This window comes from Homo sapiens, chromosome 1 (assembly GCF_000001405.40).
Source record: "Homo sapiens chromosome 1, GRCh38.p14 Primary Assembly".
NCBI classification, from domain to species: Eukaryota; Metazoa; Chordata; class Mammalia; order Primates; family Hominidae; genus Homo; species Homo sapiens.
The window spans coordinates 29,270,285-29,298,011 of NC_000001.11; the positions used below are offsets into that span (position 1 = coordinate 29,270,285).

Consider the following 27,727-nt stretch of genomic DNA (forward strand, 5'->3'; position numbering starts at 1 on the left):
AGGCATCATAATCTCCATTTGTTTGTTTTTGTTTCTTTTTTTGACAGAGCCTCACTCTGTCACCCAGGCTGGAGTGCAGTGGCATGATCTTGGCTCACCGCTTCCTCTACCTCCCGGGCTGAAGCTATTCACCCACCTCAGCCTCCCAAGTAGCTGGGACTACAGGCGCGCACCACCATGCCTGGCTAATTTTTATATTTTTGTAGAGATGAGGTCTCACTACTATGTTGCCCATGAAGGTCTCGAACCCCTGAGCGATCCTGCCTTGGCTTCCCAAAATGCTGAGATTACAGGCATGAGCTACTGCACCCAGCCATAATCTCCATTTTTTAGTGGAGGAACCTGACATCAACATTCAAAGGGGGTTAAGTAACTTGCCTGAAGCCACAGAACTATGGCCAGGTGCAGTGGCTCATGCCTGTAATCCCAGAACTTTGGGAGGCTGAGGCAGGTGGATCACTTCAGCTCAGGAGATTGAGACCAGACTGGGGCAACATGGTGAAACCCTGTCTCTACAAAAAACACAAAACAAATTAACCAGGTGCATGGTGGCACATGCCTGTGGTCCCAGCTACTCAGGAAGGTGAGGTGGGAGGATTGAGACTGCAGTGAGCCAATGATAGCACCACTGCACTCCAGCCTGGGTGACAGTGAGACTGTGTCTCAAAAAAACAAACACAAACAAACAAAGAAAAAAAAGAACTAATGAGAGGTGGAGATAGGATGTGAACTTGGGTGTACCAGATCCCAGTCCAAAGCTCCTCCCATGAGAAAAAGTTGAACATTTCAGGGTTATTGCATCTTGTTTAGCCTTACTAAAGTCAACACATGGTGGCCTAATTCAACAGCTGTTAAATGTTATCCTCATTGTTTTAATGTGCATTTTGACCTCTGATCTCGGAGTGACCTGTAGCCCTGTGTAATTTAGAGGGATGGGGCTTTGAGGTCCCCAAGTTCTGTTTTGTCAGCGTGTGTTGACAGTTGAAGAGAGTGTGTCTGGGTGCCAGATGGTTTTTAGAAACGTGGAGAAACTCATGGATTCACACCCCTCAATCAACATATCAGTCTGTAGTCAACAAACTATTTGAGCTCCCTGGATCTGTCCAGATATGATCAGGGTAGGCAGGAAGAAAAAAGAAAAGTGGACCTTCTTTTCAAAGAGCTCTCAGTCTACCTGGGTGGATGGGAGGTGGCACAGTTGTCAAAGAATGAGATGCCTAAGTCTGAAGTTGGGAGTTTCATCCTCCAAAGTTGCTATCTTGGGCCCTGTAAGGTGATTTGAAGAAGCTTGAGTAGGTTGCCAGTATTTAAAAATCTGGAGATTTCACATAAAAATTGGAATTTCTGGCTCCTCTTGAAAAATGGGAGGATCTGGCAACTCTGAACCTGTAGTCCTGCCTGGCAACAGTCATCTAGAGGTGAGCAGTAGCTGCCCCTTTTGGATGGGACACTACTGTCCTGTTTGCCGTGGTCTTTACCCAGCATACGTCCCCCGTTTACATGGAACTTCTCCTGCCCTTCTGTAAATGCTGCAGGAGGACTAGGAAGCAGAATGCTTCTGCCAAGCCCTAGAGGCTGGAAAGGAATGCAGGGCAGCATTCCAGGGGGTGGGGATGGTGTGAGCTGAGCTGCAGGGAACAGAGAGCCACTCCCAGTAGTGCAAATAAAGCAGTGGTACCTCGGCTCTTGTAGACTCCCAGGACAGTGCACACAGGGCAGCCACCTCGGCTCTTGTAGACTCCCAGGACAGTGCACACAGGGCAGCCAGGACCACAGCCAGAGAGTTGAAGAATAACGCGAGGACCTCTGGGAAAGATGGCAAGTGAGCACACCCCAGATCTGCCTCCTCTGGCGCAAACATAGAAGAATGATGGCTTAAAACAAAACTACATTAAAAAAATTAGAAAAATCTCTATGGGCCAGGAATGGGAGAGAAAACCTAAGTGTGGTGAATGGGCTTGCAGCCCACAGTACCCAGGATACAGGGAGCAGTGGCAGCCAGCCCCTCAGTGTCCATATGGGATGGGATTTGGGTGGTCCCTGCTTGTGGGGAGAAGGGAGCCAGTCAGGAGGCAGGCTTTGTTCCTAGTGAGTGCTGAAATCTCTCTTCGATGGCTCCATGTATAACTGGAGACATGCTGCTTGCCTGCATTCCAGGGAAGAAAGGAAACCTTCTGGGTGGAAACAGAATCTTGTATTGTGCTGTACATGGGGCCAGTGTTGAAAACTGTGTTACTGGTGCACTCCCAAGATAGGAGCAGCCTGGGCGAATGCTTTCCTTTGCATCTTCTTCATAAGGGGAATTCTGAACAAATTAATCACATAAAAAATGCCACTAGGGGCTGGGTGCGGTGGCTCAAGCCTGTAATCCCAGTACTTTGGGAGGTAGAGGCAGGAGGATCAGTTGAGCCCAGGAGTTTGAGATGAGCCTGGGCAACACAGCAAGACCCTGTCTCTACAAAAAATACAAAAATTAGCTGGGCTTGGTGGTACGCACCTGTAGTGCCAGCTACTTGGGGGACTGAGGCAGGAGGATCACTTGAGCCGGGGAGATCAAGGCTGCAGTGAGCCGAGATCCTGCCACTGCACTCCAGCTTGGATGACAGAGCAAGACCTTGTCTCAAAAAAAAAAAAAAAAAAAAAGAAAAAAAAATGCTCCTAGGGGTTGTACTTAATCTTCTTAAGAGATTGTATAGCGGTGCTTTCTCACCTGTTCATTAAGGGATGCTGAGGTCCCTCTAGCTGGGGACACTTTGCAGGCGATCACAGAACTTGAGAGTAATGAAACTATACTTCATGGAATCAGAGTGTAAGAGAGAAAAGGATCAGTTGATGCAGTCTTGGTGTCTTCCCTCATTTTACTGATCCAGAAATTGAGGCCCAGAGATTTGCCCAAGATCACACAGCTGGTCAATGCAGATGCAGGACTAAGGGCTGAGTCCTGGGCTCCATCTTGCCTTTGCTTCAGAAGCCTTGACTTTTCTTTTCTATTCTTTTTTTTCGAGACAGCGTCTCACTGTGTCGCCCAGGCTGGAGTGCAGTGGTGCGATCATGGCTCACTGCAGCCTCAACCTCCCAGGTTTAAGCAATACTCCTGCTTCAGCTCCCTGAGTAGCTGGGACCACAGGCATGTGCCACCATGCCCGGCTTATTTTTGCGCTTTTAGTAGAGATGGGTCTTCTCCATGTTGGCCAGGCTGGTCTCAAACTCCTGACCTCAGGTGATCCACCTGCCTTGGCTTTCCAAAGTGCTGGGATTACAGGTGTGAGCCACCACGCCTGGCCAACTTTTTATTTTTTGTAGAGATTGTGTCTTGTTGTGTTGCCCAGGCTGGTCTCAAACTCCTGGGCTCCAGCGATTCTCCTGCCTGGGCCTCCCAAAGTGTTGGGATTACAGGCATGAGCCACTGTGCCCAGCCCAGTTTCTTTATTTATAAGATGGGGATAGCATTCTGGTCCATAGAGTCATCAAGAAACCGTAAAACATAACATGCACCTCCCTTCTGCTGGGGTAGCTCGCTCTCTCCTGAGGCATCAGTGAATTCCTATTGGGGAGGTGGGGAGTGGTGGTTAAGAGCATGGATTTCGGAGCCAGCCTGACCAGGTTTGGATCCCAGCTTCACCACTTACCATCTCTGTGACTGTGGGCAAGTTACTGAATTTCTCTGTGCCATTGTTTTCATATCTGTATGATAGGGCTAATAATAGCACTTGTCTCACTAGATTACAAGGATTAAATGAGATAAAGCATTTTTTGTTTTTTTTGGGACGGAGTCTCGCTCTGTTGCCCAGGCTAGAGTGCAGTGGCACAATCTCAGCTTACCGCAACCTCTGCCTCCCAGGTTCAAGAGACTCCTCTGCCTCAGCCTCCCAAGCAGCTGGGACCACAGGCTTGCGCCACCACGCCTGGCTAATTTTTTTGTATTTTTCTTTTTTTAATAGAGACGGGGCTTCACCATATTGGCCAGGCTGGGCTTGAACTCCTGACCTTGTGATCCGCCTGCCTCGGCCTCCCAAAGTGCTGGGATTATAGGCATGAGCCACCACGCCTGGTCGAGATAAAGCATTTTAAAGACTCGAGAACAATGCCCAGCCTATCCAAAACCCCCAATACATGTTAACTGCCTTTATTATCATTATCATTATATAATAGATTGTGTTTCCCTTTTTGCTTTGACAGCCAGGGAACCCACCACTGAATTTGAACCTTATCTTTAGACCTCCACATAGGACCTAATGTCATGTATTTCTGTTTCTGTTTCCCTGTCATTCTCTGGCTTTATTTAACTATTTGGCTCTCATTTCCCTCATTACCCTGATTTCTGTATGTTATTATATTATATGTATTACTATACATTGTTTCAGAACAAGTTTGGAATTAATACCTTAAGAAAAATATATCAACAGTTTGATTCAGACTGGCCTGTTGTAGTCCAGGGTGATCTTGAATTAGGAGGTGAACTGTGCTATTAAAAATAAATTATTGGCCGGGTGCGGTGGCTCACACCTGTAACCCAAGCACTTTGGGAGGCTGAGGTGGGTGGATCACTTGAGGTCAGGAGTTCAAGACCAGCCTGGCCAACATGTGAAACGCTATCTCTACCAAAAATACAAAAATTAGCCAGGCGTGGTGGTGTACGCCTGTAATCCCAGCTACTTGGGAGTCTGAGGTGGAAGGATTGCTTGAACCTGGGAGGCAGAGGTTGCAGTGAGCCTAGATCATGCCATTGCACTCCCTCCTGGGTGACAGAGTGAGCCTCTGTCAAAAAAAAAAAAAAAAAAGCTAATATTTTTGAGGGCTTATTGTATATTAGCCATTGTCATGCATCCTTTGTGTGTATTTCCTTAAACCTTACAATGATCCTATGAGGCAGGGCCTATTATCTTTTCATTTTGCAGTTGAGGAATCTAAGGATCAGAGGGGTGAAGTGATTCAGCCAGCAGTTGCCAGCTGCAAGTGGCAGAGCCAGGATTCAAATGTAGTCCGCCTGACTCCAAAGCACATACTTTTACTCCCTGTTTGATGTTCTAGGGGTCCCCTGAGCTCTTGGGGGCAATGGAGGGATGATTTCAGGCAGCTGACTGATGCTTTCTCTCCCTGTTCTTCTTCCTCTTCTCTTCCCATTTCTTCTAACTTCTTCTCTCTGCTTCCTGCATTCTCCAGAGCCCATGAGGGCCCCCAAAGGCCTGGCTTTTGCTGAGATCCAGGCCCGTCAGCTGACCCTGCAGTGGGAACCACTGGGCTACAACGTGACGCGTTGCCACACCTATACTGTGTCGCTGTGCTATCACTACACCCTGGGCAGCAGCCACAACCAGACCATCCGAGAGTGTGTGAAGACAGAGCAAGGTGTCAGCCGCTACACCATCAAGAACCTGCTGCCCTATCGGAACGTTCACGTGAGGCTTGTCCTCACTAACCCTGAGGGGCGCAAAGAGGGCAAGGAGGTCACTTTCCAGACGGATGAGGATGGTAAGAGTCTCAGTCCCAATTCCCGGGGCCCTGTGTACCTCCCACAGATACGCCATGTCTGAGACTGAAATTTACTGAGGGTATTTTTTTCTTTTTTTTGCTTAGGATTAAACCAACTGTATAACACCAAAGTAGTGATAGCTCCTATTTTTTCTCTGGAAGACTTTGGGTTAGATTGGTCTAATTTCTTTCCTTAAGTGTTTGAAAGAATTCAGCAGTGAAGCCATTTGGGCATAGAGTTTTCTTTGTGGCAAGGTTTTTAGTAAATTTTAGTTTTTAAAATAGATATTGGGATATTCAGATTTTTTTATTCTTGTATCAGTTTAGATGGACTGTATTTTTTAAGGAATTTGTTCATTACACCTAAATTGTCAAATTTCTTGAGATAATGTTGTTTATAATTTTTTTTATTTATTTAGAGACAGAGTCTTGCTCTGTTGCCCAGGCTGGAGTACAGTGGCACCATCTCAGTTTGCTGCAGCCTCCTCCTCCCAGGCTCAAGCGATCCTCCCACCTCAGCCTCCTGAGCTGGGACTACAGGCATGCACCACCACGCCAAGCTAGTTTATTTATTTTTGAGGCAGGGACTCACACTTTTGTCCAGGTGGGAGTGCAGTGTCATGATTATGGCTCACTGCAGCCTCGACCTCCCAGGCTCAAATGATCACTCTACCTCAGCCTCCCAAGTAGCTGGGACTATAGACGTGCACTGCCATGCCTGGCTAATTTTTTTGTATTTTTTGTAGAGACGGGGTTTTGCCATGTTGCCCAGGCTGGTCTCGAACTCCTGGGCTCAAGTGATCCACCCACCTTGGCCTCCAAAAGTGCTGGGATTACAGGCATGAGCCACTTCATTTGCCAATATTCTTTTATTATATTTATTTAATGTCCATAGGCTCTATAGTGATATCATCTTTTTCATTTCTGATATTGGTAATTTCTGTTTTCTTTTTTCTTGTTTACCCTTGTGAAGACTGTATAAATTAATCTTTCCAAAGAACCAACTGTTGGCTTACTTGATTTTCTTTATTTTCTATTTTTTATTTCCTTTGTTATACTTTCTTTGGAGTTGATTTGCTGTTCTGTTTGCCTTTTGAGATAGAAGTTTCTTAGATCATTAATACTGAGCCCTTCTTCATTTCTAATATACGTGTTTAAAGCTACACATTTTCCTCTAAGTCCTGCTTTAGCTGTGTCCCACAAGTTTTGATATTTCCTATCTTCATTATCATTCAGTTCAATTTGTTGTCTATACAATTGAACTGTTATTTCTGTTATAATTTCTGCTTTGACCTAAGAGTTACTTAGAATTATGTTGCTTAATTTCTAAGCAATTGGGACTTTTCTTTTTTGTTTGTTTTTGAGACACAGTTTCACTCTGTCACCCAGGCTGGAGTGCAGTGGCACAATCTCGGCTCACTGCAAACTCCGCCTTCTGGGTTCAAGTGATTCTCATGCCTCAGCCTCCTGAGTAGCTGGGATTTCAGGTGCCCGCCACCACGCCTGGCTAATTTTTGTATTTTTAGTAGAGACAGGGTTTCATCATGTTGGCCAGGCTGGTCTCGAACTCCTGACCTCAGGTGATCTGCCCACCTTGGCCCTGCAAAGTGCGGAGATTATAGGCATGAGCCACTGCACCTGGCCAGCAATTGGGACTTTTCTAATTGTCTTTTTATTATTGATTTCTAGGTTAATTCCACTGTAGTCAGAGTATATACTCTAAATTTTATTTTGTGAAATTTCATCTTTACTTTATGGCCCAACATATTGTTAAATTTTGGTAAATGTTCCAGTGTATTTGAAAAGAACATGTATTCTGTTGCTGTTGAATGCAGTGTTCTACATATGTCAAACTAATATTTAGCCCTTAGCACATTCAAGCACCATTCTGAATGGTTTTGATATATTACTGCATTTAATACCCATGACAACCCTATGTGGTAGGTTACTATTTCTATTCCCATTTTATTTCTATTCCCATTTTACAGAAGAAGTCACAGAAAGCCTGGCTTTCTAACCTGACCATCTGGCTTCACAGTTGTCATTCTTTTTTTTTTTTTTTTTTTTTTTTTTTTTTTTTGAGATGGAGTCTTGTTCTGTTGCCCAGGCTGGAGAGCAGTGGTGCAATCTCAACTCACTGCAACCTCTGCCTTCCTGGTTCCAGCGATTCTCCCACCTCAGCCTGTCGAGTAACTGGGATTATAGGCACCTACCACTACGCCGGCTAATTTTTTGTATTTTTGGTAGAGATGGGGGTTTCACCATGTTGGCCAGGCTGGTCTCGAACTCCTGACCTCAAGTGATCCGCCTGCCTCGGCCTCCCAAAGGTGCTGGGATTACATGCGTGAGCCACCGTGCCCAGCCAGTTGTCCTTCTTAAGAGCTACACTCGAATGCTATCACAGGTCCAAAGCCTTTCCCTGGGTTCCTACAGATTCCAGTTACCACTAAGCTCCTTGGTTTATGGCTTTGTCTTGCTGCCGCACGTGCACAGTTTTCTGTTCTGCACAGCATTGGCCTAGATTCAAAATTCAGCTCCTTCTTTACTTTCTGCTTTTCTCTGCCTTAGGACTTCAGCTTCCCCATAGTGGTTTATCAAGGTATTTTCCCAAGCAAAGATCATTCTCTTCCTAAATGACACTCCTGTGCCTGCCATTAACAGTATACATTTACACAAGAAAAACAAAACAAAGCCATGCCTGCAAGTGTTAATGCTAAAATGTTAACAGTATCTCTGGGTGATACAATTGTAGATGCCATTAATTTTCTTTAAGCTCATTTTGATTTTCTACATTGAACATGTCATTTATGTAATTAGAAATTTTTAGACGAGAAAATATCGCCACCCATAATCCCAATACCGCAATGCAATTGCTGTTTTCATTTCTCTGGCCCATGTGCATATTTTCTGAAAACTACCCAACTGGAACAAAATTGGAGCCTTCAAACGTATTTCTCTCCTGAATGCAACCTACACAGTAATGAAAATGCCAGCTATCCATTTTGAGTACTTAGTAATAGGTTGAACCATATGCAATTGCTGATGTTTGCCTTGGGGCTTTATGTACATCACATCATTTGAGTCCTGGCTTGAGAGGGGTTATATCATTCCCACTTCACAGCTGAGTTAAGTAAGGTGCAGAGAGGCTGAATAGTCCATGAGAACCAGGTAGGAAGCGGCAAGGCTGGAATTTAAACCCAGGTGTCTGGCACCAAAGCCCACTTTCCCCTGGCCCCTGCTGCCTTTCCCTTGCAGTGCCCAGTGGGATTGCAGCCGAGTCCCTGACCTTCACTCCACTGGAGGACATGATCTTCCTCAAGTGGGAGGAGCCCCAGGAGCCCAATGGTCTCATCACCCAGTATGAGGTGGGTTTGGGACCCTATTACAGTGGGGGACCCTGGTGGAAGGTGAGAGGTGGCCCTCTTTCTCTCTGCTGCTACAGTAGGAGGTGCATGGGAGGACAGATGTGATTGTCATAGTTTCTTCAACTATGGCCAGGTCTGTGCCCTGTGTATTCTAGAGGAGGGTCCTGAAGGCAGGAGGGAGAGCCGAAGATGACTAGAAGCCTGGCTTGATGGCATCCATAGTCTCCTTTGCTTAGCCTTATCTCTCACTTCCCTGGGACATGGTGGGTGGAGGCTGCTGGTCAGGGATGCTCTGACCATCCAGTGCCCACCTGCCTGCCAATCCTGCCCCCAGATCAGCTACCAGAGCATCGAGTCATCAGACCCGGCAGTGAACGTGCCAGGCCCACGACGTACCATCTCCAAGCTCCGCAATGAGACCTACCATGTCTTCTCCAACCTGCACCCAGGCACCACCTACCTGTTCTCCGTGCGGGCCCGCACAGGCAAAGGCTTCGGCCAGGCGGCACTCACTGAGATAACCACTAACATCTCTGGTGAGCCCCACCTGACCCGGCCCAGCCTCTTCGGAGGTGGCCCAGAATCCCAGGGTTCCATGGGCAGAAGGGAAATGGGGGGCATCCTGGGGGTAGTTACAGAGGGCCCCTGCTGAGATAAATATGCCATTTAGGAGTTAAAGTCAGGCTCAGGGAGGATGAAGTCAGAGGAGTCAGGAGACTGGTCAGTGGAATCAGAAGATTGAGGTTGGGGCTGGTGCCTGAGGTCAGGGGCCAGGGTAGCTCAGGTCATGTCAGCAGGAACAAAGAGGCTAAGGCTGAAGTAGGGGAGATCTGAGGACTGTGGTCAAGGAGGCTGGAAGCCTGGTCTTCCTGGTCCAGTGGCCAAGCTCCAGCTTGTGACCCTGTCCCCTTCTCCAGCTCCCAGCTTTGATTATGCCGACATGCCGTCACCCCTGGGCGAGTCTGAGAACACCATCACCGTGCTGCTGAGGCCGGCACAGGGCCGCGGTGCGCCCATCAGGTGGGAAAGCGGGGACGGAGGGGTGGGAGTCCAGGGCCTTAGGAAAGAGGCCCCTCCTCTGACCCAGAGCCCCATCCCAGGCCAGCTCACCCTTTTCCTCCCTCAGTCTCCCACGCAGGGCTTGGAGTGTCTGGAGGAGATTGTTCTGTGATGCTTGGCAGGCAAGAAGCCTGCAGTCCCTCCCCTCTGAGGCCATGGGTCTCAGATGGTGACTGTCAGGAGGACCCTGGATAGGTCCAGCCTGGAGAGGGGACTGTCCAGGCCTGTCCAGGGGGCCTTTCCTCAGACACCTTGGAGAAGTGAAACTCTGGGGGCCTTATATCATCCCAGCCTTTTCCTGGAAGCACAGAGATGGGCTTTCTAGAAGGCTGGGGCAGCCAGCCAGATAGGGCCATCTCTCTGGAATGGCTAGGAGCTTGGCTTCTCCACCTCCTCTCCCCAGAGGAAGCTGGGCTTGCTGGTGCCGTGGTGGCTGCCTCTGCTGGGGAGAGGGTGCTGGAGACAAGACTGTGTGTGTGTGTGTGTGTGTGTGTGTGTGTATGTGGGATGTGAAACTGGGTGTGTCTTTGTGATAAAGACATGGGATGTGTGGTGTGAGTGTGTGTGAGAGGCGTATATGGGAGACATAAGTGTGCATGTGTGTGAGAGTGTGAGGGTGTTTGTGCAACTGTGTGCACGTACTGTTAGCCAGACCCCGTGCTAGGGGCTTTATCTGCATGAAGCCATTTATCCTCATGGCAGCCCTGTGGCATGGGTATTATTACCTTCATTTTACATATCGGGAAACTGACTCAGAGCCTGAATCACTTGCCCTCAAGGCCACACAGCTAGTAAGTGGTGGAGCTGGGATTTGGAAGCCAGGTCTATCTGCTGTGCCTGTACCTTTTCTAGAAGTTATAGAGCCTCCCTGCCCTTCTGGTCCACCCCTTCCTTCCACGAAGGTACATGCTCTGGGAGAGGGTGACAGCCTTTAGGTGGGGGGGGTGTGAGGGTCCTAGTCAGTTCCCTAGGAAGAGAGTGGGCTGCCTGGGTGACCATGGCAGTCCCTCACCTCCTCACTCCCCACTGTATCCTCTCCTCTTCTGCTTTGTCTTCCCTGTATTTGCCACTGCAAATCCTGCCCTGGGCTGATTCCCAGACCCTCAGGGAAGACCCAGGAAAAAGTCACGGGGTCTGCAGGGCCTTTTGCCTGTTGCTAGAGCCTCAGGGCCCTTATGCCACTGAGTCTGGGATGGGTTGGGAACCCTTTCTTTCTTGTCCTCTTGAGGGATCCTGTGAGCAGCACTGGTCAGGGTCCCTCAGGATGATGATTGCAAGGCTAGGTGGGGGCAGGCTTGGTGGGAGGGGAGCGGCAAGATGGCTGCATGACCCTGGGCATGTCCCGTTACCTTCCTGAGCCTCCGTTTCTTTATCTGCACAATGGGGATTATTCTAGATTAAGATGCACTTTGTTCATGGCTAATGTTAATGATTACCTCCTGGTGGGATTTAGGGCTAGGAGAGGCCTGACCTTAGCCTGGGGCAATGGAGGCTGAAAGGGGCTTGGACTGGTGTTTATAATGGGCTAGTGACAAGCCATGGGCTGGTGTCCAACACTCTGGGATGATTCCCCACAACTTGGATGCTCCAAAGAAACATCTGGTGAGCAAGGAAAAGGCATTTCTGCTTCCCCAAGGAGAGGCTGTCAGTATGGGATGTCACACGCCAAGACGTGACCGAGACTGTAACTGGAAATATTTAAATTTGTCAGGATTCACTTATTTACTCTCCACTTTGTTCTGCAGAGGATTTGGAGGAGCTCATAGCAGAAACCTATTTAGTAAAGAGATAAAATAGAAACACAGCTGGGACCAGGGAGCACGAACCAGAGTGGGCAGTCAGGATCCTGAAACAGCAGGGCTCCGATTTGCTGATCAGAGGCTGCCTTGGCATTGGGAGGGTGCTAGAGACATAGTGTTGGGTGTCCTTGTTTGCTAAATCACTGTCTCTCACTAGAGGTCAGTTTTAGGAAGCCCAGTTGCCTAGTGTATAGCACAGGGCTCATAGTCTGAGCTCAGTCATCTCTTTCTGAATGAATGAATGAATGAATGAATGAATCTGGCTAACCCTGTCATTTACTGAGTCCCAGAAGGGAGCTTTCAGTAGCTTTGGTTTCCCAGGTCTTGTGTCACACACACAGGAGGACTCATGGAGGAAGCAGGCTGGGGCCTTATGGCTTGGTTATATTGAGCAGGGTCCACGATCCTCTTAGCCTGGATTAGTAACAGGAATAACCGCTGACAGGTGCTGGCTGCTTGCTTAACTTGCCTGTTCTTCCCATCTATCTTCTGAACAGTCTTGCAATTACTCCCATTTTATGGAGGAAGAAACCGAGGCCCAGGGAGGTTAGGGGACTTGCCCAGCTAGTAAGGAGCAGTGTGTGGAAGTTAGTCCCCAGGAGGGCTTGACCACAAAGCCCATGCCTTTAACTGCCAGCTGGCTCTCCCAGTCCTCTGGCCGCCTGTGATCCCCTGTACGCTCTCCTCCCTGTCCAGTGTGTACCAGGTGATTGTGGAGGAGGAGCGGGCGCGGAGGCTGCGGCGGGAGCCAGGTGGACAGGACTGCTTCCCAGTGCCATTGACCTTCGAGGCGGCGCTGGCCCGAGGCCTGGTGCACTACTTCGGGGCCGAACTGGCGGCCAGCAGTCTACCTGAGGCCATGCCCTTTACCGTGGGTGACAACCAGACCTACCGAGGCTTCTGGAACCCACCACTTGAGCCTAGGAAGGCCTATCTCATCTACTTCCAGGCAGCAAGCCACCTGAAGGGGGTGAGGGACCGGCCAGGGTCATGGTGGGCGTGGTTGGGTGTGGGGGGATGGCAGACAGGAGATACCTTGGAGCAGGCCCAGCGCAGACTCCAGGCCCGGCACTTCCCATAGCCCCACCTCCCATAGCCCCACCTCCCATAGCTCCTCCTCCTACAGCCCACCCCCATAGCCCTACCTCCTGTAGCCCCACCTCCCATAGCCCTGGCCCCACAGTTCCTCCCCCATAACCTTGCCCCTCCCATAGCCCTGCCTCCTTTTGCCCACCTCCCATTGCCCCACCTCCAATAGCCTTACCTCCCATAGAGCCACCCCCACGGCCCCGCCTCCCACAGCCCCACCTCCCAGAGTCCGTCCCATAGTCCCTTCTCCCATAGCCCCTCCCCCATGGTCCCACCCCTCCCATAGCCAGCCCTCCTGACCCCAGGCTCCTTCCCACAGAGCACTACCCCCTTCCTGAGCCTTCTTTCTCAGGCTCCTCCTTTCTATCCAGGTCCCCAGTCTAGTCTCTGCCCCTTCCTGAGGCCCTGCCTTCTATCTTAGATGCTTCTCTTCCCAGAGGAGTCCATCTCAGATTCCAGCGTTCCTGTGTTAAGGCCTAGGACCCGCCTCCTCCCTGAAGCCCCACCTTATCCTCCAGGCTCCTCCCTCCTCTGCTTCTTGCCTGGTTTCTTGCCTGGTTTCTGACTTCCTAGCTGGACCTCTGGCCCTAGGCCTCGCCCCGATGCCCGAGGCCCCGCCCATTTCCCCAAGACGTTTGTTTCTCTTTTGCCTCCGATCTCATCCCCCTTTCCTAAGGCACTGCAGGTGCCTCCCCTCTAGGCCCCGCTCTCAAGGGTCCCCCCAGGCCTGCCTTCGGGTGGGGTGTCCCTTGATGCCATCAGCACAAGACAAAGCCCTGAACAGGCCCAAGAAACGCTGTCTGAGGTTCCCACCCTGGGGAGGGAGAGGTCGGGGCTTCAGCAACGCTGAGACCCCCATCTGTGCCTCCAGGAGACCCGGCTGAATTGCATCCGCATTGCCAGGAAAGGTAAGTCCGCTGAGTTCCTGCAGCCTTTCAGCGGCAGGTTTCTCACCTGCCCAGCGCTGGGGAGGTGGATCCTGAGGACCTACGGCTGTGGGAGTAGAGGAGGGTGGTTGGGCAGTCCTGGGGCCAGGAGGGGCTTCCTGCTGGGTTTCCATGTGCCCTACCTCAAGGGCGCCTTCTCCCAGGGTGACAGCAGGGGCCTGGAGCAGGCTTGTGGAGAGGAGCCATTATAGTTGGGCCTTGGGGGTGATGGGTACAGGGTGCTGGTTCTGGGTTACGTATCTGTCCGGCTTTCCTGTGGTGGGGGAGAAGGTGAGGTCAGCATGGGCCCTGTGCTATAGGTATCTTTCCTGCTTCCAGACAGGGAATGTGGTTGGTTTCCCATCCTGAGATGGACTAACCATGCCCTAGGTACACAATTCCTAATCCCTGTTACCTCCCAGGAGGGCAAGAGGGTGGGGCTGAAGCCCAGGTGTCTGCTCTCCCCTATCCACTGAGAGCTGGGAGGATCTGAGAAAGTGGGAAGCGAGGGAAGCTATTCCTGGCAAAGGAGCCATATCAGTGAGGACTGTGGCGTGGAAGTGCAGAAGGTATCAGGGATGGTGAGGAGGTAGATTTGCTCAAAAGGCAGGACACACATTGAGGATGTAGGGCGGTTTGTGCAGCCCAGTTTGTTCCTTGGGCACAGCCACCTACAGGAGGGGCTCGATGGTCCCTGTCTTTCCTCTGATCCCTTGTTCTGCTTTGTTCTCCCCAGCTGCCTGCAAGGAAAGCAAGCGGCCCCTGGAGGTGTCCCAGAGATCGGAGGAGATGGGGCTTATCCTGGGCATCTGTGCAGGGGGGCTTGCTGTCCTCATCCTTCTCCTGGGTGCCATCATTGTCATCATCCGCAAAGGGTGAGTGAGGCCGGTGCCCTGTCCCACCAGTGGCTTCTACCCCTTAGAGGCCTGGTGGCACAGAGGAATAGTGGCTAAGAGCTGGTAGGGCAGCTGTCCTGCAGGTGTGTGGAGGGCTGCCAGCCTGGGCATCGCCTCTACAGATGGATCTGAGCTGGGTGGTGGGAAGCCAGAGACTGGGAAGATGGGGCTGCCCTGGAGTGGCATGGCTGGAGTACAGTTCTGGCTGGTGCCAGGTGCTGCCATCCAGGGAGGGGTGCTCAGTGCCTGGTGCCAAGGAGCTATGCCTGCTGGGACTGTTTCAATAGGGAGGGCATAGAGGTGACCTGGCTTTGAACCCCTACCCTCCTGCAGACCTTCAGCCAAGGTGTCTGCCCTGCTTATGGGATTGTGCAGTTGACCTGAGCAGAGGATGGAGCTCACTCCTCTTTAAACCAAGGGCCCTGAGCCATGGCTCTTCCCGGGATCCACCTTCTCTCAGGCTCAACTTGCCCTGGACCCTGTTCCTGTGGATCCTTGAGGAGCCCTCCTGGGCCTGTGACTGATAAACCCCTCCCCCTGCCGCCCCTACTATCCCTCGTGTCTCAAAGGTCCAGCCTGTGTTTGCATGAAATGTGTTTCCTAGCGGATTTGCAGAGGGCAGCATATATCCCAGGACATTGTGGAATCCAGAACCTAGAATCTTGCAGTTTCAGAAATGTAGGATTTAGGACTCTAGGAATCTTAGGCTTTAGAATTGTAGAGGCTCAGAGCCCCAGAACGTAAGAGCTGCCAGGTAGTTCAAGGCCATCTAGTCTAGTGGTTTTCAAATCTTTTTAAAGAAACAGAACCTGCCTTCAAAACACCAGAAAACCCTTCCCTGGGAGCCTAGTAAAATGGAGCAGATGAAGGCTGAGCAGCAGTGCTGGTCGGAAGCTGAGTGGGGGCTTCTGGGACTTTTCTGTTTGCCAGCTCTGCCCCACCATGTTCCCCACCAGGCAGCCGTGGGACACTGTGGTCCAAGCGCCTTAAATGAGGGATGGGGATGTTGAGGCCTAGAGGGCACGCAGGGCTGCCCAAGGCTACCCGGAGAGCCAGAGGCAGAGCCAGCTCCACCCTTCCCCACCTGGGCTCTGGCTTCTATAGCCCCTACTGCTGCCAGGCTGGGCATACATGGATGAGTTGGTTGTATCTCTGGGCTGCCAGGAGCGGATAATAGGATCCAGGAAGATGAGAGAGAGAGCTGGCTGGGGCCACCTTGCCTGAGGCCAGACACCAGCAAGAGAGAGAGAGTCTAGGGGTGGAGTGTGCAGCGGAGTGGAGGAGATGGGGGGGATGGCCCAGCCAGGGCGATACACTCTGATTTTTCCCCTCGTTGTTCCTGCACAGCTTTAAGAGAGACTATTTTAAAGTATCATTTAATGAGGGATTACTATGTGCCAGGAGCTTCACACACATCATCCATGAGTACATTAGTTATTGGACATCTACTGTGTACCAGGCACTGTTCTGCACTCAGCATGCGTCAGAGAACATTTCCTTCTTGGATCTTGACTGACTCCCTTTTTTTTGGATGAAGAAACTGTAATGAAAGCACCTTGCCCAGGCCACTTGGCTGATGAGCAGTAGGGCCTGACTTCAACTCAGGCTCGCCTACAAATGTGAAGGCCTCACTGAGTCTGGTGCATAGGCAGTGCCCCCAGAATGGCAAGCCCCTGACTTTCCCCCAGCAGGGGGCCTGAGAAGTGACTTTAAGTAGGGCTGGGGCTGGAGAGGGCTATAGTGGAGGGGGCAGATTTCAGTTTCAGGTGGTATTTGAGGTCCTAGAAATCTACCCTCAAGGAGAAGAGGATTGGCAGAGTGAGGGGTGTCAAAGAGAGCCCTGCAAAGAGAGCACTGGGCCCAGGACAGGCTGGATCAGAAATGTTGTCAGGGCCTCACTGGGAAACCTTCCATTATGTATTTGCTACCCCATAAACCCAAGTTATCCCAGATGCCTCCAGGAACCCCTCATCCCCCATCACTCTGGACCTCCTTACTTCCTCTAAAAGCCATTCAGTCTCACTGTGTAGTACCCACTGCATGCCCCTGGATCTGAGCCTGGCCTTCAGGGCCTTCCGTGCTCCTCAGGGCTTTTGCAGTCTGCATTGTGGGTATCATGGGATGCAGCAGCCCTGGCAGGGATGGGGGTGTTCAGATCAACGTGGGGTGCCAACATAACTAACAAGAGTAGGAAGTTGCTGAGGAGGGCAGTTACCACGCCCCCAGGAGGGAGTCCCAGGGGGATTATGGGTAATAGAGGCCAGCTGGAAGAAGATTTCAGATTCTCCATCCTGCCCTGCCTCTGTGGACCATCAGACTGGATGCATCTGCTGTAGGGGAATTCCAGGGCCTGGAAGGGAGGCTGGTGACCCCAGGCCAGGTCAGATCCCCTGGCTGTGCTTCCAGAAGTCCCCATACCCCACCCTTCTCCATGGCAGCACTTTCTTCTCCCTGCACTTTGTCATTTACTTACTTGTAGTGTTTTGCTCAATGCTTGCCTCCCCTCCTGGGTTAAGAGCTCCATGAAGGGCAGAGAAAGCCCTGTCTTGTCTATATCTCCACAGTCTAGCCCAGGGGAGTCGGGTCTCCCCACTCTGAGGTGTAGGGAGGAGTGGTTTGTGGGCACTGCTGGGTGCTTCCCGGTGCTGAGGCCTCACAGCAGTCCCTGTGGGAGATTATTATTAACCTCACTGTGTATGTATGTTTTTTTTTTTTTTTTTTTTAAATGGACTCAAGCTCTGTCATCCAGGCTAGAGTGCGGTGGCGCGATCTCAGCTCACTGCAAGCTCTGCCTCCCAGGTTCACGCCATTCTCCTGCCTCAGCCTTCCAAGTAGCTGGGACTACAGGCGCCCACCACCACGCCCAGCTAATTTTTTTTTTATTTTTAGTAGAGACGGGGTTTCACCTTGTTAGCCAGGATGGGTATGTATGTATTTTTTGAGACAGAGTTTTGCTCTTGTTGTCCAGGCTGGAGTGCAGTGATGCAGTCTTGGCTCACTGCAACCTCTGCCTCCTGGGTTCAAGTGATTCTCCTGCCTCAGCCTCCTGAGTAGCTGGGATTACAGGCGCCCACCACCATACTCGGCTAATTTTTTGTATTTTTAGTAGAGACAGGGCATCATCATGTTGGCCAGGCTGGTCTCAAACTCCCGACCTCAGGTGATCCACCCGCCTCGGCCTCCCAAAATGCAGGGATTATAGGCCTACCTGAGCCACCATGCCCAGGCTTAACCTCACTTTTTAAAGAAGAAAGTGGAAGCGCATGGAGGTGAAGTTCTTTTATTTATTTTTCCTCATTTATTGATTACTCCATTCAACAAAATATTTATTGTGGGATTACAATGTGTGGGGCCCTGGGGAAACTGAGGGAGACAAAAAGACAAGGATTCTGTCCTCCTGTACTTTGTAGCCAGTGGAGAGCCTGGCATGAAATTAGAAAAAGCACAAATGGAAGAGATAATTGCAAATTGTGAAAAGAACAGGGTGCTGGGTGTTGGGGGCAAAGAGAATACAAGAGACATCATGTAGCTGGCACTCGTGGGAGAGTGGTCCGGGAAGGCCCTTTTGAAGGCACAATGTGTCAACTGAGGCCAGAAGAATGCCATTTCTTCAGCCGTGTCCTCCCTCGTGGGGCCTCTGCAACAGCCCCAGCGCCCTAGACTCTCCCCTCTCTCCCTGGGATGGAGGAGATGTGCTCTGTGACCTGGGGCCAAGCTCCTGCCTTTGCTGGTCCGTCTTCCGCTCTCCTCCCCTTCATCTGCAGGATTTCCTGTGGAAGGCCATTCTTTGGGGTCCCTGCTGACAGGGTGATGTGGGGGCAAGTGAATGGAGGCCTCTGGAGAGCCTGGGAGGGGAGCACAGAGGAAGTTCCAGGACCAGGGTCCTGGGGCAGGTGTTTGCTCTGGACTCTGCCACTGACCCCCAGAGAGGCCCAGGTAGCCCATGCTCCCTGACTCAGCTTCCCCGCCTATGAAATGGGAATCCAACCTGCTTTACACTGTGGGTGCTTTGCGGTAAGGTAGGGCTCTTGATGGAAGCTGTGCCCCAGGTGCTCCCAGAGGGGATGACCTGGCTCCTTTAGTGGATCCCACACCCAGGGGCAGGCAGGGTAGGTAAGGGTGGGCCCTAGTTGTGTCCTGGGCATACATCTGGAGTCCTCTCCATCCTGCCCCCTTTCTGTCCCCACCCAGGTGGAGGTGCAGGCAAAGGGCTGACCCCTTATGGGCAGAGGGCCGTGCAGGGTGGGAGGGTGGGGGATGAGAACAGCCCTGGTAAGCACAGTTAGCCTAGAGAGTATGAGTCTGTGTGTGTCAGGGGATGTCTAATGTGTGTGTGTGTGTGTTTGTGAATATATGTCTAAGTGAGTGTGTGTCAAGTGTGTCTGAATACATGTGTATGCATGTCTGCACCTGTGTGTCTGCATTTGTGGGTGTTGATATGTGTTTCTCCATGTATGAGTGTGTATGTGAGCATATATCTACATGTGTGTCTGTGTGAGTGTGCATATGTGTATGACTGTGTGAAAGCTCTGCGGCCCCCTAGGTCCTTTTCCCACCTCCTCCTCACTCCTGCAGTAGGCTTGGGGAAGGTTTCAGAAGGGCCTTGGGTCCTGGTCATTAATATCTGAGCCTGACCAGGGAGGTCCTCCTGACCTGTTCAGTCCCTGGCCAGCCCCCTCCCCAGCCCGGGAGGTACCCAGGCCCCACCCTGCTGCCTGGGCATTGCCTCAGCCCGGCCTTGGTGGACGGACCTCGGACACAACTGTGCTGTTCTCTCTTTGCACGCTGCCAGGAGAGACCACTATGCCTACTCCTACTACCCGTAAGTAGCTCTACCTTGCCTGGGAGTCCCCGGCCCTGCCTAGGGGGAGATCCCCTGTCCCCGCCTTCTCTGGTTGGGCTTAGTCTCGCTGCACCCAGCCTGGCCTGGTGTCCACCCGGTTCTCTCTGGTCACCTCGGCCTCTGACTTTCTTTCCTCTGCTCTGTCCTTCCCCTCTGCATCTTCCTCCTCAAGTCGTGGTCATGAGTGCTGGTTCTGCCCCTAAGAGGCATGGGTTCAGAGCTGGCCCTGCTGAGTCACCCCCAGCAAGTCCCTGAGCCTCAATGTCCCCTTCACCACCAGAGCAGCCCCTTACGTCTACTGTTCCTCGTGGTTAGAAGTATGTCCTGACCTCCAACCAAATCCACGTTCAGGACACGCTCTGGAGCCCACGTCCATGTGCATGTGTGTGCTTGTGTGCATGTGGGTGGGGCCTACCTGTTCTGAGACTGGCAGCTTCTCCCACAGCACAGGCAACTCTCAGGCCCCTACAAGTCCCTTCTCCAGCCAGGCAGCCCCAGCTCTGCAGACCCACCATTTCCTGGGAGCCTCCTCTGGGCCAAGCCCTGTGCTCAGTTCTTGACAGAGTCCTCACAACAGCTCTGAGAAATAGGAGCTTTTATCACTCCCACTTTACTGATGAGGAAACTGAGGCTCAGAGAGACCAAGGGAGTTGTGGGAGGTTGCAAAATGCACTGGAACTGGGATACAACCCAGGCCCCTGCTGACTCCACAGCCTGCCGATGCTACTCTGTCTTCTCTCTCTGTCTTCTACTCTGCAAGCCTTCTGGAACATTCCTCCTGCCCCTGTGCTGGTTTTCCCTCCCTCGAAGTGCAGGCCCAGAGGGCGCCAGGCCAGCCCTGAGGACAGTGGGTCTCTCACCTCCTCCTCCCTGGACAGCTCCTTACCTTAGTGTTTCCTGACACGAGCTTTTCCAACAACTCAACACCCAGCGACTCGCGCTGAGCCCCCAGCTCGGCTCCTGCAGGGGCTGTGGACAGGCAGCTCTCCCTGCTGCTTGCGCAGTTAGTTTTCAAAACCAGATGCAGAACTTCTCAAAGAATCTGTATTAAATTCCATCTGCTTAATCTCACATTGAGCTCAGCTGGATGCCAACAGCATTAGGTGTCCCTCCCGGGTTCCATCTTCTGGGGATCGGGTTGGTTTGTTTCTGTAGCTCTTCTTCCAGGTAGGCCAGGAATCCTGGGCTGGGAACAGAGCCTGTGGCACACCCCTGGAGACCACCCTCTAGGCCAGCATCTGCTCAGTGACGGGTCCTCTCTGGGCTCCATGTTCAGCCAGGCTGGCTGGCTGTCCTCTGTCCATGGCCCTATCTCCCCACCTCCTTTTCTCCCTCCCACTTTCCTCCAAGTTCCTTCGAAGTCACAAACTGCCATCCTCATCCGTGAAGCTGGGCCTGGAGGGAGAGGAGGTCTCTCTTTCTCTTCCCTGCTGCTCTGAGCAGCAGGACGGACTGGTGGGCAGTGGTGGGAATCTGGACCTTCTGTGGGTCTCTTTACAAGTCTGTGGTGGTCTATGCTGGGACCATCCTAGGTGCTACTGGGAGTAGGGAGAAGCCAAGGGTGGAGTTCATTCTGTGCGTGGGGGAAGCCCCCGAGCTCTGGCTGAGCACAAGCTAGACTCTCTGCGGGGAAGGAGGGGTGTAGTCCCTCCTTCCTGCAGGAGAAGGAGGAGTCTGGAGAGTGGTCCCTGTTTAACACGGGGAGGAGAGAGGTGGGGACATGCTGGGCCTGGAGCTGGGCCAGCCATTTTCCTAGTTTGGGGTGCAGTGGGGGTGAGGGGGCTGTCTGCTGTGACACCAAATTAGCCCTGGAGTGACTTTCTTTCCCATTTCCTAAGCCCAGGGGGCCAGTGAAACTTAGGAGTGAGATCCCAGCCTGAAGCCACTGCTGCTCCACCCCTTTCCCTTAGCAAAGGTCCCTAGGACGGGCTCTGCCAAGCCCTTTTCAGGGAAGAAGCAGCTCTGGGTCTAATGAGTGAAGGATGGGGGCAGAGCCCTCAGCATCCAGAGATGCTTCTAGGACAGCTGCTGGCTCCTGGCCTTGAGGTCCCCTTACTCCAGGGCCTCCCCAGCCACCTCTGGGTGCTGTCCAGCCCCACACAATGCCTGTGTCTCCCCTCAACCCCCCTCTCCAGGAAGCCGGTGAACATGACCAAGGCCACCGTCAACTACCGCCAGGAGAAGACACACATGATGAGCGCCGTGGACCGCAGCTTCACAGACCAGAGCACCCTGCAGGAGGACGAGCGGCTGGGCCTGTCCTTCATGGACACCCATGGCTACAGCACCCGGGGTGAGTGCCCGGCCCTCCTACCCCTTCTTCATGGCTCTGGGGCTCCCAACCTGAGACAATAGGGTCCCCACATCAGGTGAGTTCTGTAACACCTGCAACCAAAAGTGAAGCATCTGTGGTGCTCCTGCTGGATACCTTCTGGATATAGAGCCAGCACAGGTGGCGTTTTTGCATTGTGTACTAGAGGAGCTTGCAAGGAATTCTGCTAGCAAAAGAGGAATGCAAGGTCCATTGTGACAGTCGTCAAGGAGGAGGTGCTGCTGTAGGATCAGAGGGATCAGAGTGGCCTCACCCCTTATTGAGCACCTGTTATGTGAGAGGTGGGGATACAGTGGCTGAGAGAGACCGATATAGAGTCAGACCTGGGCTTACCTCTCCCTTTCTTAGCTGTGTGACCTGGGGCAAGTCACTTAAGCCCTCTGGATGTCTGTTTCCTTGTGTATAAAATGGGAATGCAGATTGCCTCTGCTAGTAGGGCCGATGTGAAGACTAAATGAGATAATGTGTGCAAAATCACTTAGGGCTGTGCTTGTATTCACAGAATATAGTGAGTCAGCCGTTATGTACTAGGTCTGTGTCATAACTTGCTTCATCCCACATCTTTTTATTCTGTTTAGTGTTGATTTGTACAGAAGAGAATATGTAATGTTTATGAAAGTCATAAAATCATAACAATACAACAAACAGCAATGAACCTCATTGGTGAATTAGAACATTATCTTGGTACACCTCCCTGGCTATATCCCCTACCTCTTTCTTAGATGTAAATATTCCCTTGAAATTGTTGTGTTTTTTTTTTTTTTTTGTGAGATGGAGTCTCACTCTATCACCCAGGCTGGAGTGCAGTGGCATGATCTCGGCTCACTGTAACCTCTGCCTCCCAGGTTCAAACAATTTTCCTGCCTTAACCTCCCAAGTAGCTGGGATTACAGGCACCTGCCACCATACCCGGCTAATTTTTTTGTTTTTTTGAGATGGAGTCTCACTCTGTTGCCCAGGCTGGAGTGCAGTGGTGTGATCTTGGCTCACTGTAACCTCTGCCTCCAGGGTTGGAGCAATTCTCCTGGCTCAGCCTCCTGAGTAGCTGGGATTACAGGTGTGCGCCACCACACCCAGATAATTTTTGTATTTTTAGTAGATGGGGTTTCACCATGTTGGCCAGGCTGGTCTTGAACTCCTGACCTTAGGTGATCCACCCACCTTGGCCTCCCAGAGTCTTGGGATTACAGGCGTGAGCCACCGCACCTGGCCAGTTTTTGTATTTTTAGTAGAGACAGGGTTTCACCATGTTAGCCACGCTGTTAGCCACGCTGGTCTCGAACTCCTGACCTCAATTGATCTGTCCGCCTCAGCCTCCCAAAGTGTTGGGATTACTGGCGTGAGTCACTGTGCCCAGCCTCCCTTGAAATTTGTGTTTATAATTTTCCTACCTTTTTCGGGGGTAGTTTTTTGTTTTTTTTTTTTTTGAGACGGAGTCTCCCTCTGTCACCCAGGCTGGAGTGCAGTGGCGCAATCTCCGCTCACTGCAAGCTCCGCCTCCCGCATTCATGCCATTCTTCTGCCTCAGTCTCCCTAGTAGCTGGGACTACAGGCGCCCGCCACTGCGCCCGGCTAATTTTTTGTATTTTTAATAGAGACGGGATTTCACCGTGTTAGCCAGGATGGTCTCGATCTCCTGACCTCGTGATCCACCTGCCTCGACCTCCCAAAGTGCTGGGATTACAGGCGTGAGCCACTGCGCCCGGACTTTTGGGGGTAGTTTTACCATGTGTACATATATCCCCAAACAACGCATTGTATAGTTTTGCTCATTTTCATCCTTTATAAAAATGAAATCACACACTACTTAACTCCACATCATATTTAAATTTACCCATGTGGATGTTTTGCTGCAGTTCATTTACTTTCTCTGATGCGTAGTTTCCCATTGTATGGCTGTATCACAATTGACTTCTCCATTCTGCCATCCATGGGCATTCGATTGGTTTTTAGTTTTCTTGTTATCACAAATGAGACTGCTGTGAATATTCTGATGTGGATGTCTAGATGCACCTGCACACAAGGTTCTAGAAATAGAATTGCTGGATTATGGAGTACGTGCATCTTCAGCTTAATAAGAGTGCCAAGTTGCTTTCCAAAGCAACTCTGCCTGTTTTCTTTCCTAGCAGCAGTGTGTAAGACTTTCTGTTGCTCTACATCAAGATCAAAATTTGCCAGCCTTTTTCACTTCTGCCACATTAGTTTGTATAAAATGGTAATTCTCTATAGTCTTAATTTGCATTTCACTGATGACTAATGAAGTTGAACGTATTTTCAAGTCATCAATGGCCATTCAGGTCTCTTTTTCCATGAAATGCCTGTTCATGTCTTTCACCTAATTTTCTATTGGGTTTTCTGTTGCTTTCTTAGTGGTTTTTAGGAGTTCTTTATATATTTAGGATAATAATCATTTGTCACTTGTGAATTGCAAATATCTCCTCCCAATTTGTGGCTTATCTTCCTAGGTTATTTATAGTGTCTTTGGATGAACAGAAGATTTTTATTTTTGTGTATTTAAATTCATCAGTCTTTTTCTTTGTGATTTCTACTTTTTGTGTTTTTTAAAGAAGTTTTCCCTATCCAAAGTTATAAAATATTTTTTGCTTTTTTTCTAGAACTTATAACATTTTACATTTTATATTTAAATCTTTATCCATCTGGAATTGATTTTTGTGTGTGGTGGTATAAGTTAAGGATTTTATTTTTTCCATGGTGATAAGCCACTGTCCCAGCATCATTTATTATAGTTCACGCTTTCCCTGCTGATTTGCAGTGCCATCTTTCTCGCACACCCCATTTCTACAGATAAGTAGATCATTTTTCAGTTCCCTGTTTCTTTCATTGGTTGGTTTGGTTGATTCCTAACCACACGGTCTAATTATCGAGGCTATTTAAGTCTTGATATCTGAAACATGAAGCTGTGCCAACTTTGTGCTTCATCAAGGATGTCTTGGCTATTTTTGTTTTCATTCTCTCTCTCTGTCTTAATGAGATAGGATCTAGCTCTGTCACCCAGGCTGGAGTGCAGTGGCACAATCTGGGCTCACTGCAACCTTCGTCTTCCGGGCTCAAGCGATCTCCCACCTCAGCCTCCCGAGGAGCTGGGACTACAGGGGCGCACCACCATGCCTGGCTAATCTTTGCATTTTTTTTTTTTTGGTAGAGACGGGGTTTCACTATGTTACTCCAGGCTGGTCTCAAACTCCTGGGCTCCAGTGATCTGCCCGCCTCAGCCTCCCAAAGTGTTGGGATTACAGGCATGAGCCATCACGCTCGGCTAATTCTCTTTGTTATAAATTTTAGAGTCATCTCTTTAAGTTTCTTGAAAAACTTTGTTGGATGGTTTTGTATTGAATTTATAGATCAATTTGGAAGAATCGCCATCTTATGAAATTGTCTTTCCACCCATGAAAGTGATTTATATTGCCCCATTTATTTAGGTCTTGAATGTCTTTCAATAATTCTCTCCATAAAATCTTGTACATCTTTTTTTAGATAGATGTCCCTAGGTTCTTTATTTTTGACTTCTATTGCAAATGGTACACTTTTCAAATATTACATTTCCATTTCTTATATAGAGAAATGCAGTTTATTTTTGATTGCATATTGATCTTACATTCATACTTCTTTTTTTTTTGTGAGACGGAGTCTCACTCTGTCACCCAGGCTGGAGTGCAGTGGCGCAATCTCAGCTCACTCCAACCTCTGCCTCCCTGGTTCAAGTGATTCTCCTGCTTCAGCCTCCCAAGTAGCTGGGACTACAGACGTGCGCCACCATGCCCAGCTAATTTTTGTATTTTTTTTTAGTAGAGATGGGGTTTCACCATGTTGACCAGGCCAGTCTCGCACTCCTGACCTCAGGTGATCCACCCACCTTGGCCTCTCGAAGTGCTGAGATTACAGGCATGAGCCACCGTGCCTAGCCTTATATACATACTTCTCGATATGCTTTCTTATTCTCATTTCTCTGTAGAATGTTTCAGGCTTTCTGAGCAGTTAAAGGATCTGTGAATATCCTTTGCAGAAGAAATAGTTGTTTTTTCTTTCCCACTTCTTATTCTTTTTCCCCATGTTTTTTTGGCTGGGACCTCCGGTACTGTGTTGAATAGACTGGTTGTAGCTGGAATCCTTGTCTTCTTTTCCTGACTTTAACAGGAATGTTTCTAACATTTAAACACAGAATGAAGATTGCTTTGGGGTTTTGGTAGAAATGTTTTTATCAGGCTAACCAAATTCCTTTTAGTTTTTAGTTTGCTGAGAGGTTTTAAGTGGGCATTAAACTTACCAAATACTTTTTTCTGCAATTATTGTGATAATTATTTTTTCCCCTTTTGTCTGCTAATGGGATGAGTGACATTTTTAGATTTTTAAAAAATTACCTTAAATTCCTGGGATAAATTCAACTTGGTCATGATGATTATGATGTTTCCTTTCCTTTCTTTTTTTTTTTTTTTTCTTTTTGAGATAGGGTTTCACCCTGTTGCCCAGGCTGGACTATAGTGGTGTGATCATGGTTCACTGCAACCTCGACCTCCTGGGCTCAAGTGATCCTCCTACCTCAGCCTCCTGAATAGCTGGGATGACAGGTGCCCACTGTCATGCCTTGCTACTTTGTTTTTTTTTTTTTTGTATTTTTTGTAGAGACAGGGTTTTGTCATGTTGTCCAGGTTGGTCTTGAACCCCTGGGCCCAAGCGATTTACTTGTCTTTGCCTCTCAAAGTGCTGGGATTACAGGTGTGAGCCACCGTGTCTGGCCAGATTTTAAAGTTCTAATTTGGTATATTTAAAGGACTAAACAACTATTCAGGCTTTCTATTTTTTTAAAAATAGAAAGTTATATTTTTGATAAGTTATATTTGTCTAGGTATTTGGCCATTTTATTTATGTTTTTAAACTCAGTGTTATGCACTTATTAATCATATTCTCCTTGTAATCTCTCTTATTAAATTTTCACCATTTTATACCATTTTACCCTGCTTAGTAGCTGTTTTTTTTTTTTTTTTTTTGAAACAGGGTCTCACTGTGTCGCCCAGGCTGGAGTGCAGTGGTGCAATCCTGGCTCACTGCAACCCTCTGCCTCCCGGGTTCAAGTGATTCTCCTGCCTCAGCCTCCCTAGTAGCTGGGACTACAGGCACCTGCCATCATGCCTGGCTAATTTTTGTATTTTTTGTAGAGACGGGGTTTCACTATGTTGGCCAGGCTGGTCTCGAACTCCTGACCTCAAGTGATCCACCCGTCTTGGCCTCCCAAAGTGCTGAGATTACAGGTGTGAGCCACCGCACCTGCCTGCTTAGTAGCTGTTATTAACCCTTCAGCTTACAAATCAGGAAACAGAGGCTTGGAGAGGGGAAGTCACTTGTCCAGGTTAAATAGCCAGAAAGTGGCAGAGTCAGGACTTAAATGCAAGTCTTTCTGAATTGCAAATTTGTTTCTACTGCATCATGCTGCACCTCGAGGGATGGGTAGGATTCAGACCGCAGAGATGGGAAGGAAAGGGCATGTGTAGAGGAGGCACTGTATGTGCAAATGTGTGGTGATAGGCATGGGAGGAGACAGGGAGAGGTGTGACTGCACTAAATCCTCCAGTGGGTGCTAGAGAGAGCGGGAGATCAGGGTGGTGTGGGCTCATGCCTAACCGCTGAGTCTTGCTGAGAGACAGAGAGAGGCAGGAAACATGGGCTCTGCTCCTGGGATTCACTGATGAGTTGGGGAGTCAGGACTGACCCAGGGAAGTCGGGACCAGGCTAATTGCTATGTGGATAGTGGGGACAATCAGTGCTGTTAGTTTTGAGAAAATATGCCCTTGGGCAGGAGTGGTCAGCATTTTGGTGAGATGGGTATGGTTGACTGATGGTGAGGAGGAAGGGGCACTGAGCCTGGGCAGAGGTGATGGTTGGAAACTCAAAAGGTGCTAGGCGCGGTGGCTCACACCTGTAATCCCAGCA

The 27,727-nt window shown here is 50.0% G+C and overlaps 1 protein-coding gene across 4 annotated transcripts in view, besides 3 other annotated features; it reads left to right on the forward strand.

Moving 5' to 3' along the window:
- PTPRU (protein tyrosine phosphatase receptor type U) overlaps positions 1-27,727 on the forward strand; it is a 90,279-nt gene that overhangs the window by 33,763 nt on the left and 28,789 nt on the right. For 3 of the 4 annotated variants that reach the window (NM_133177.4, NM_133178.4, NM_001195001.2), the window contains exons 8-15: positions 5,164-5,472; positions 8,728-8,837; positions 9,172-9,373; positions 9,755-9,857; positions 12,392-12,665; positions 13,656-13,692; positions 14,447-14,585; positions 21,585-21,742. In NM_133177.4, coding sequence (NP_573438.3) covers positions 5,164-5,472; positions 8,728-8,837; positions 9,172-9,373; positions 9,755-9,857; positions 12,392-12,665; positions 13,656-13,692; positions 14,447-14,585; positions 21,585-21,742 — 1,332 coding nt within the window. Of the gene's footprint in view, positions 1-5,163; positions 5,473-8,727; positions 8,838-9,171; positions 9,374-9,754; positions 9,858-12,391; positions 12,666-13,655; positions 13,693-14,446; positions 14,586-19,398; positions 19,429-21,584; positions 21,743-27,727 lie in introns of all 4 variants that reach the window. The other variant, NM_005704.5, reaches the window with a different exon arrangement.
- Positions 13,159-13,899: an enhancer, noted in NCBI's record as "H3K27ac-H3K4me1 hESC enhancer chr1:29609955-29610695 (GRCh37/hg19 assembly coordinates)". NCBI's record gives its function as "activates a minimal SCP1, AML or CMV promoter by ChIP-STARR-seq in primed H9 embryonic stem cells {active_cell/tissue: H9 hESC(primed)}" and the evidence as "EXISTENCE:reporter gene assay evidence [ECO:0000049][PMID:30033119]".
- Positions 13,900-14,639: an enhancer, noted in NCBI's record as "H3K27ac-H3K4me1 hESC enhancer chr1:29610696-29611435 (GRCh37/hg19 assembly coordinates)". NCBI's record gives its function as "activates a minimal SCP1, AML or CMV promoter by ChIP-STARR-seq in primed H9 embryonic stem cells {active_cell/tissue: H9 hESC(primed)}" and the evidence as "EXISTENCE:reporter gene assay evidence [ECO:0000049][PMID:30033119]".
- Positions 20,591-21,093: an enhancer, noted in NCBI's record as "H3K4me1 hESC enhancer chr1:29617387-29617889 (GRCh37/hg19 assembly coordinates)". NCBI's record gives its function as "activates a minimal SCP1, AML or CMV promoter by ChIP-STARR-seq in naive H9 embryonic stem cells {active_cell/tissue: H9 hESC(naive)}" and the evidence as "EXISTENCE:reporter gene assay evidence [ECO:0000049][PMID:30033119]".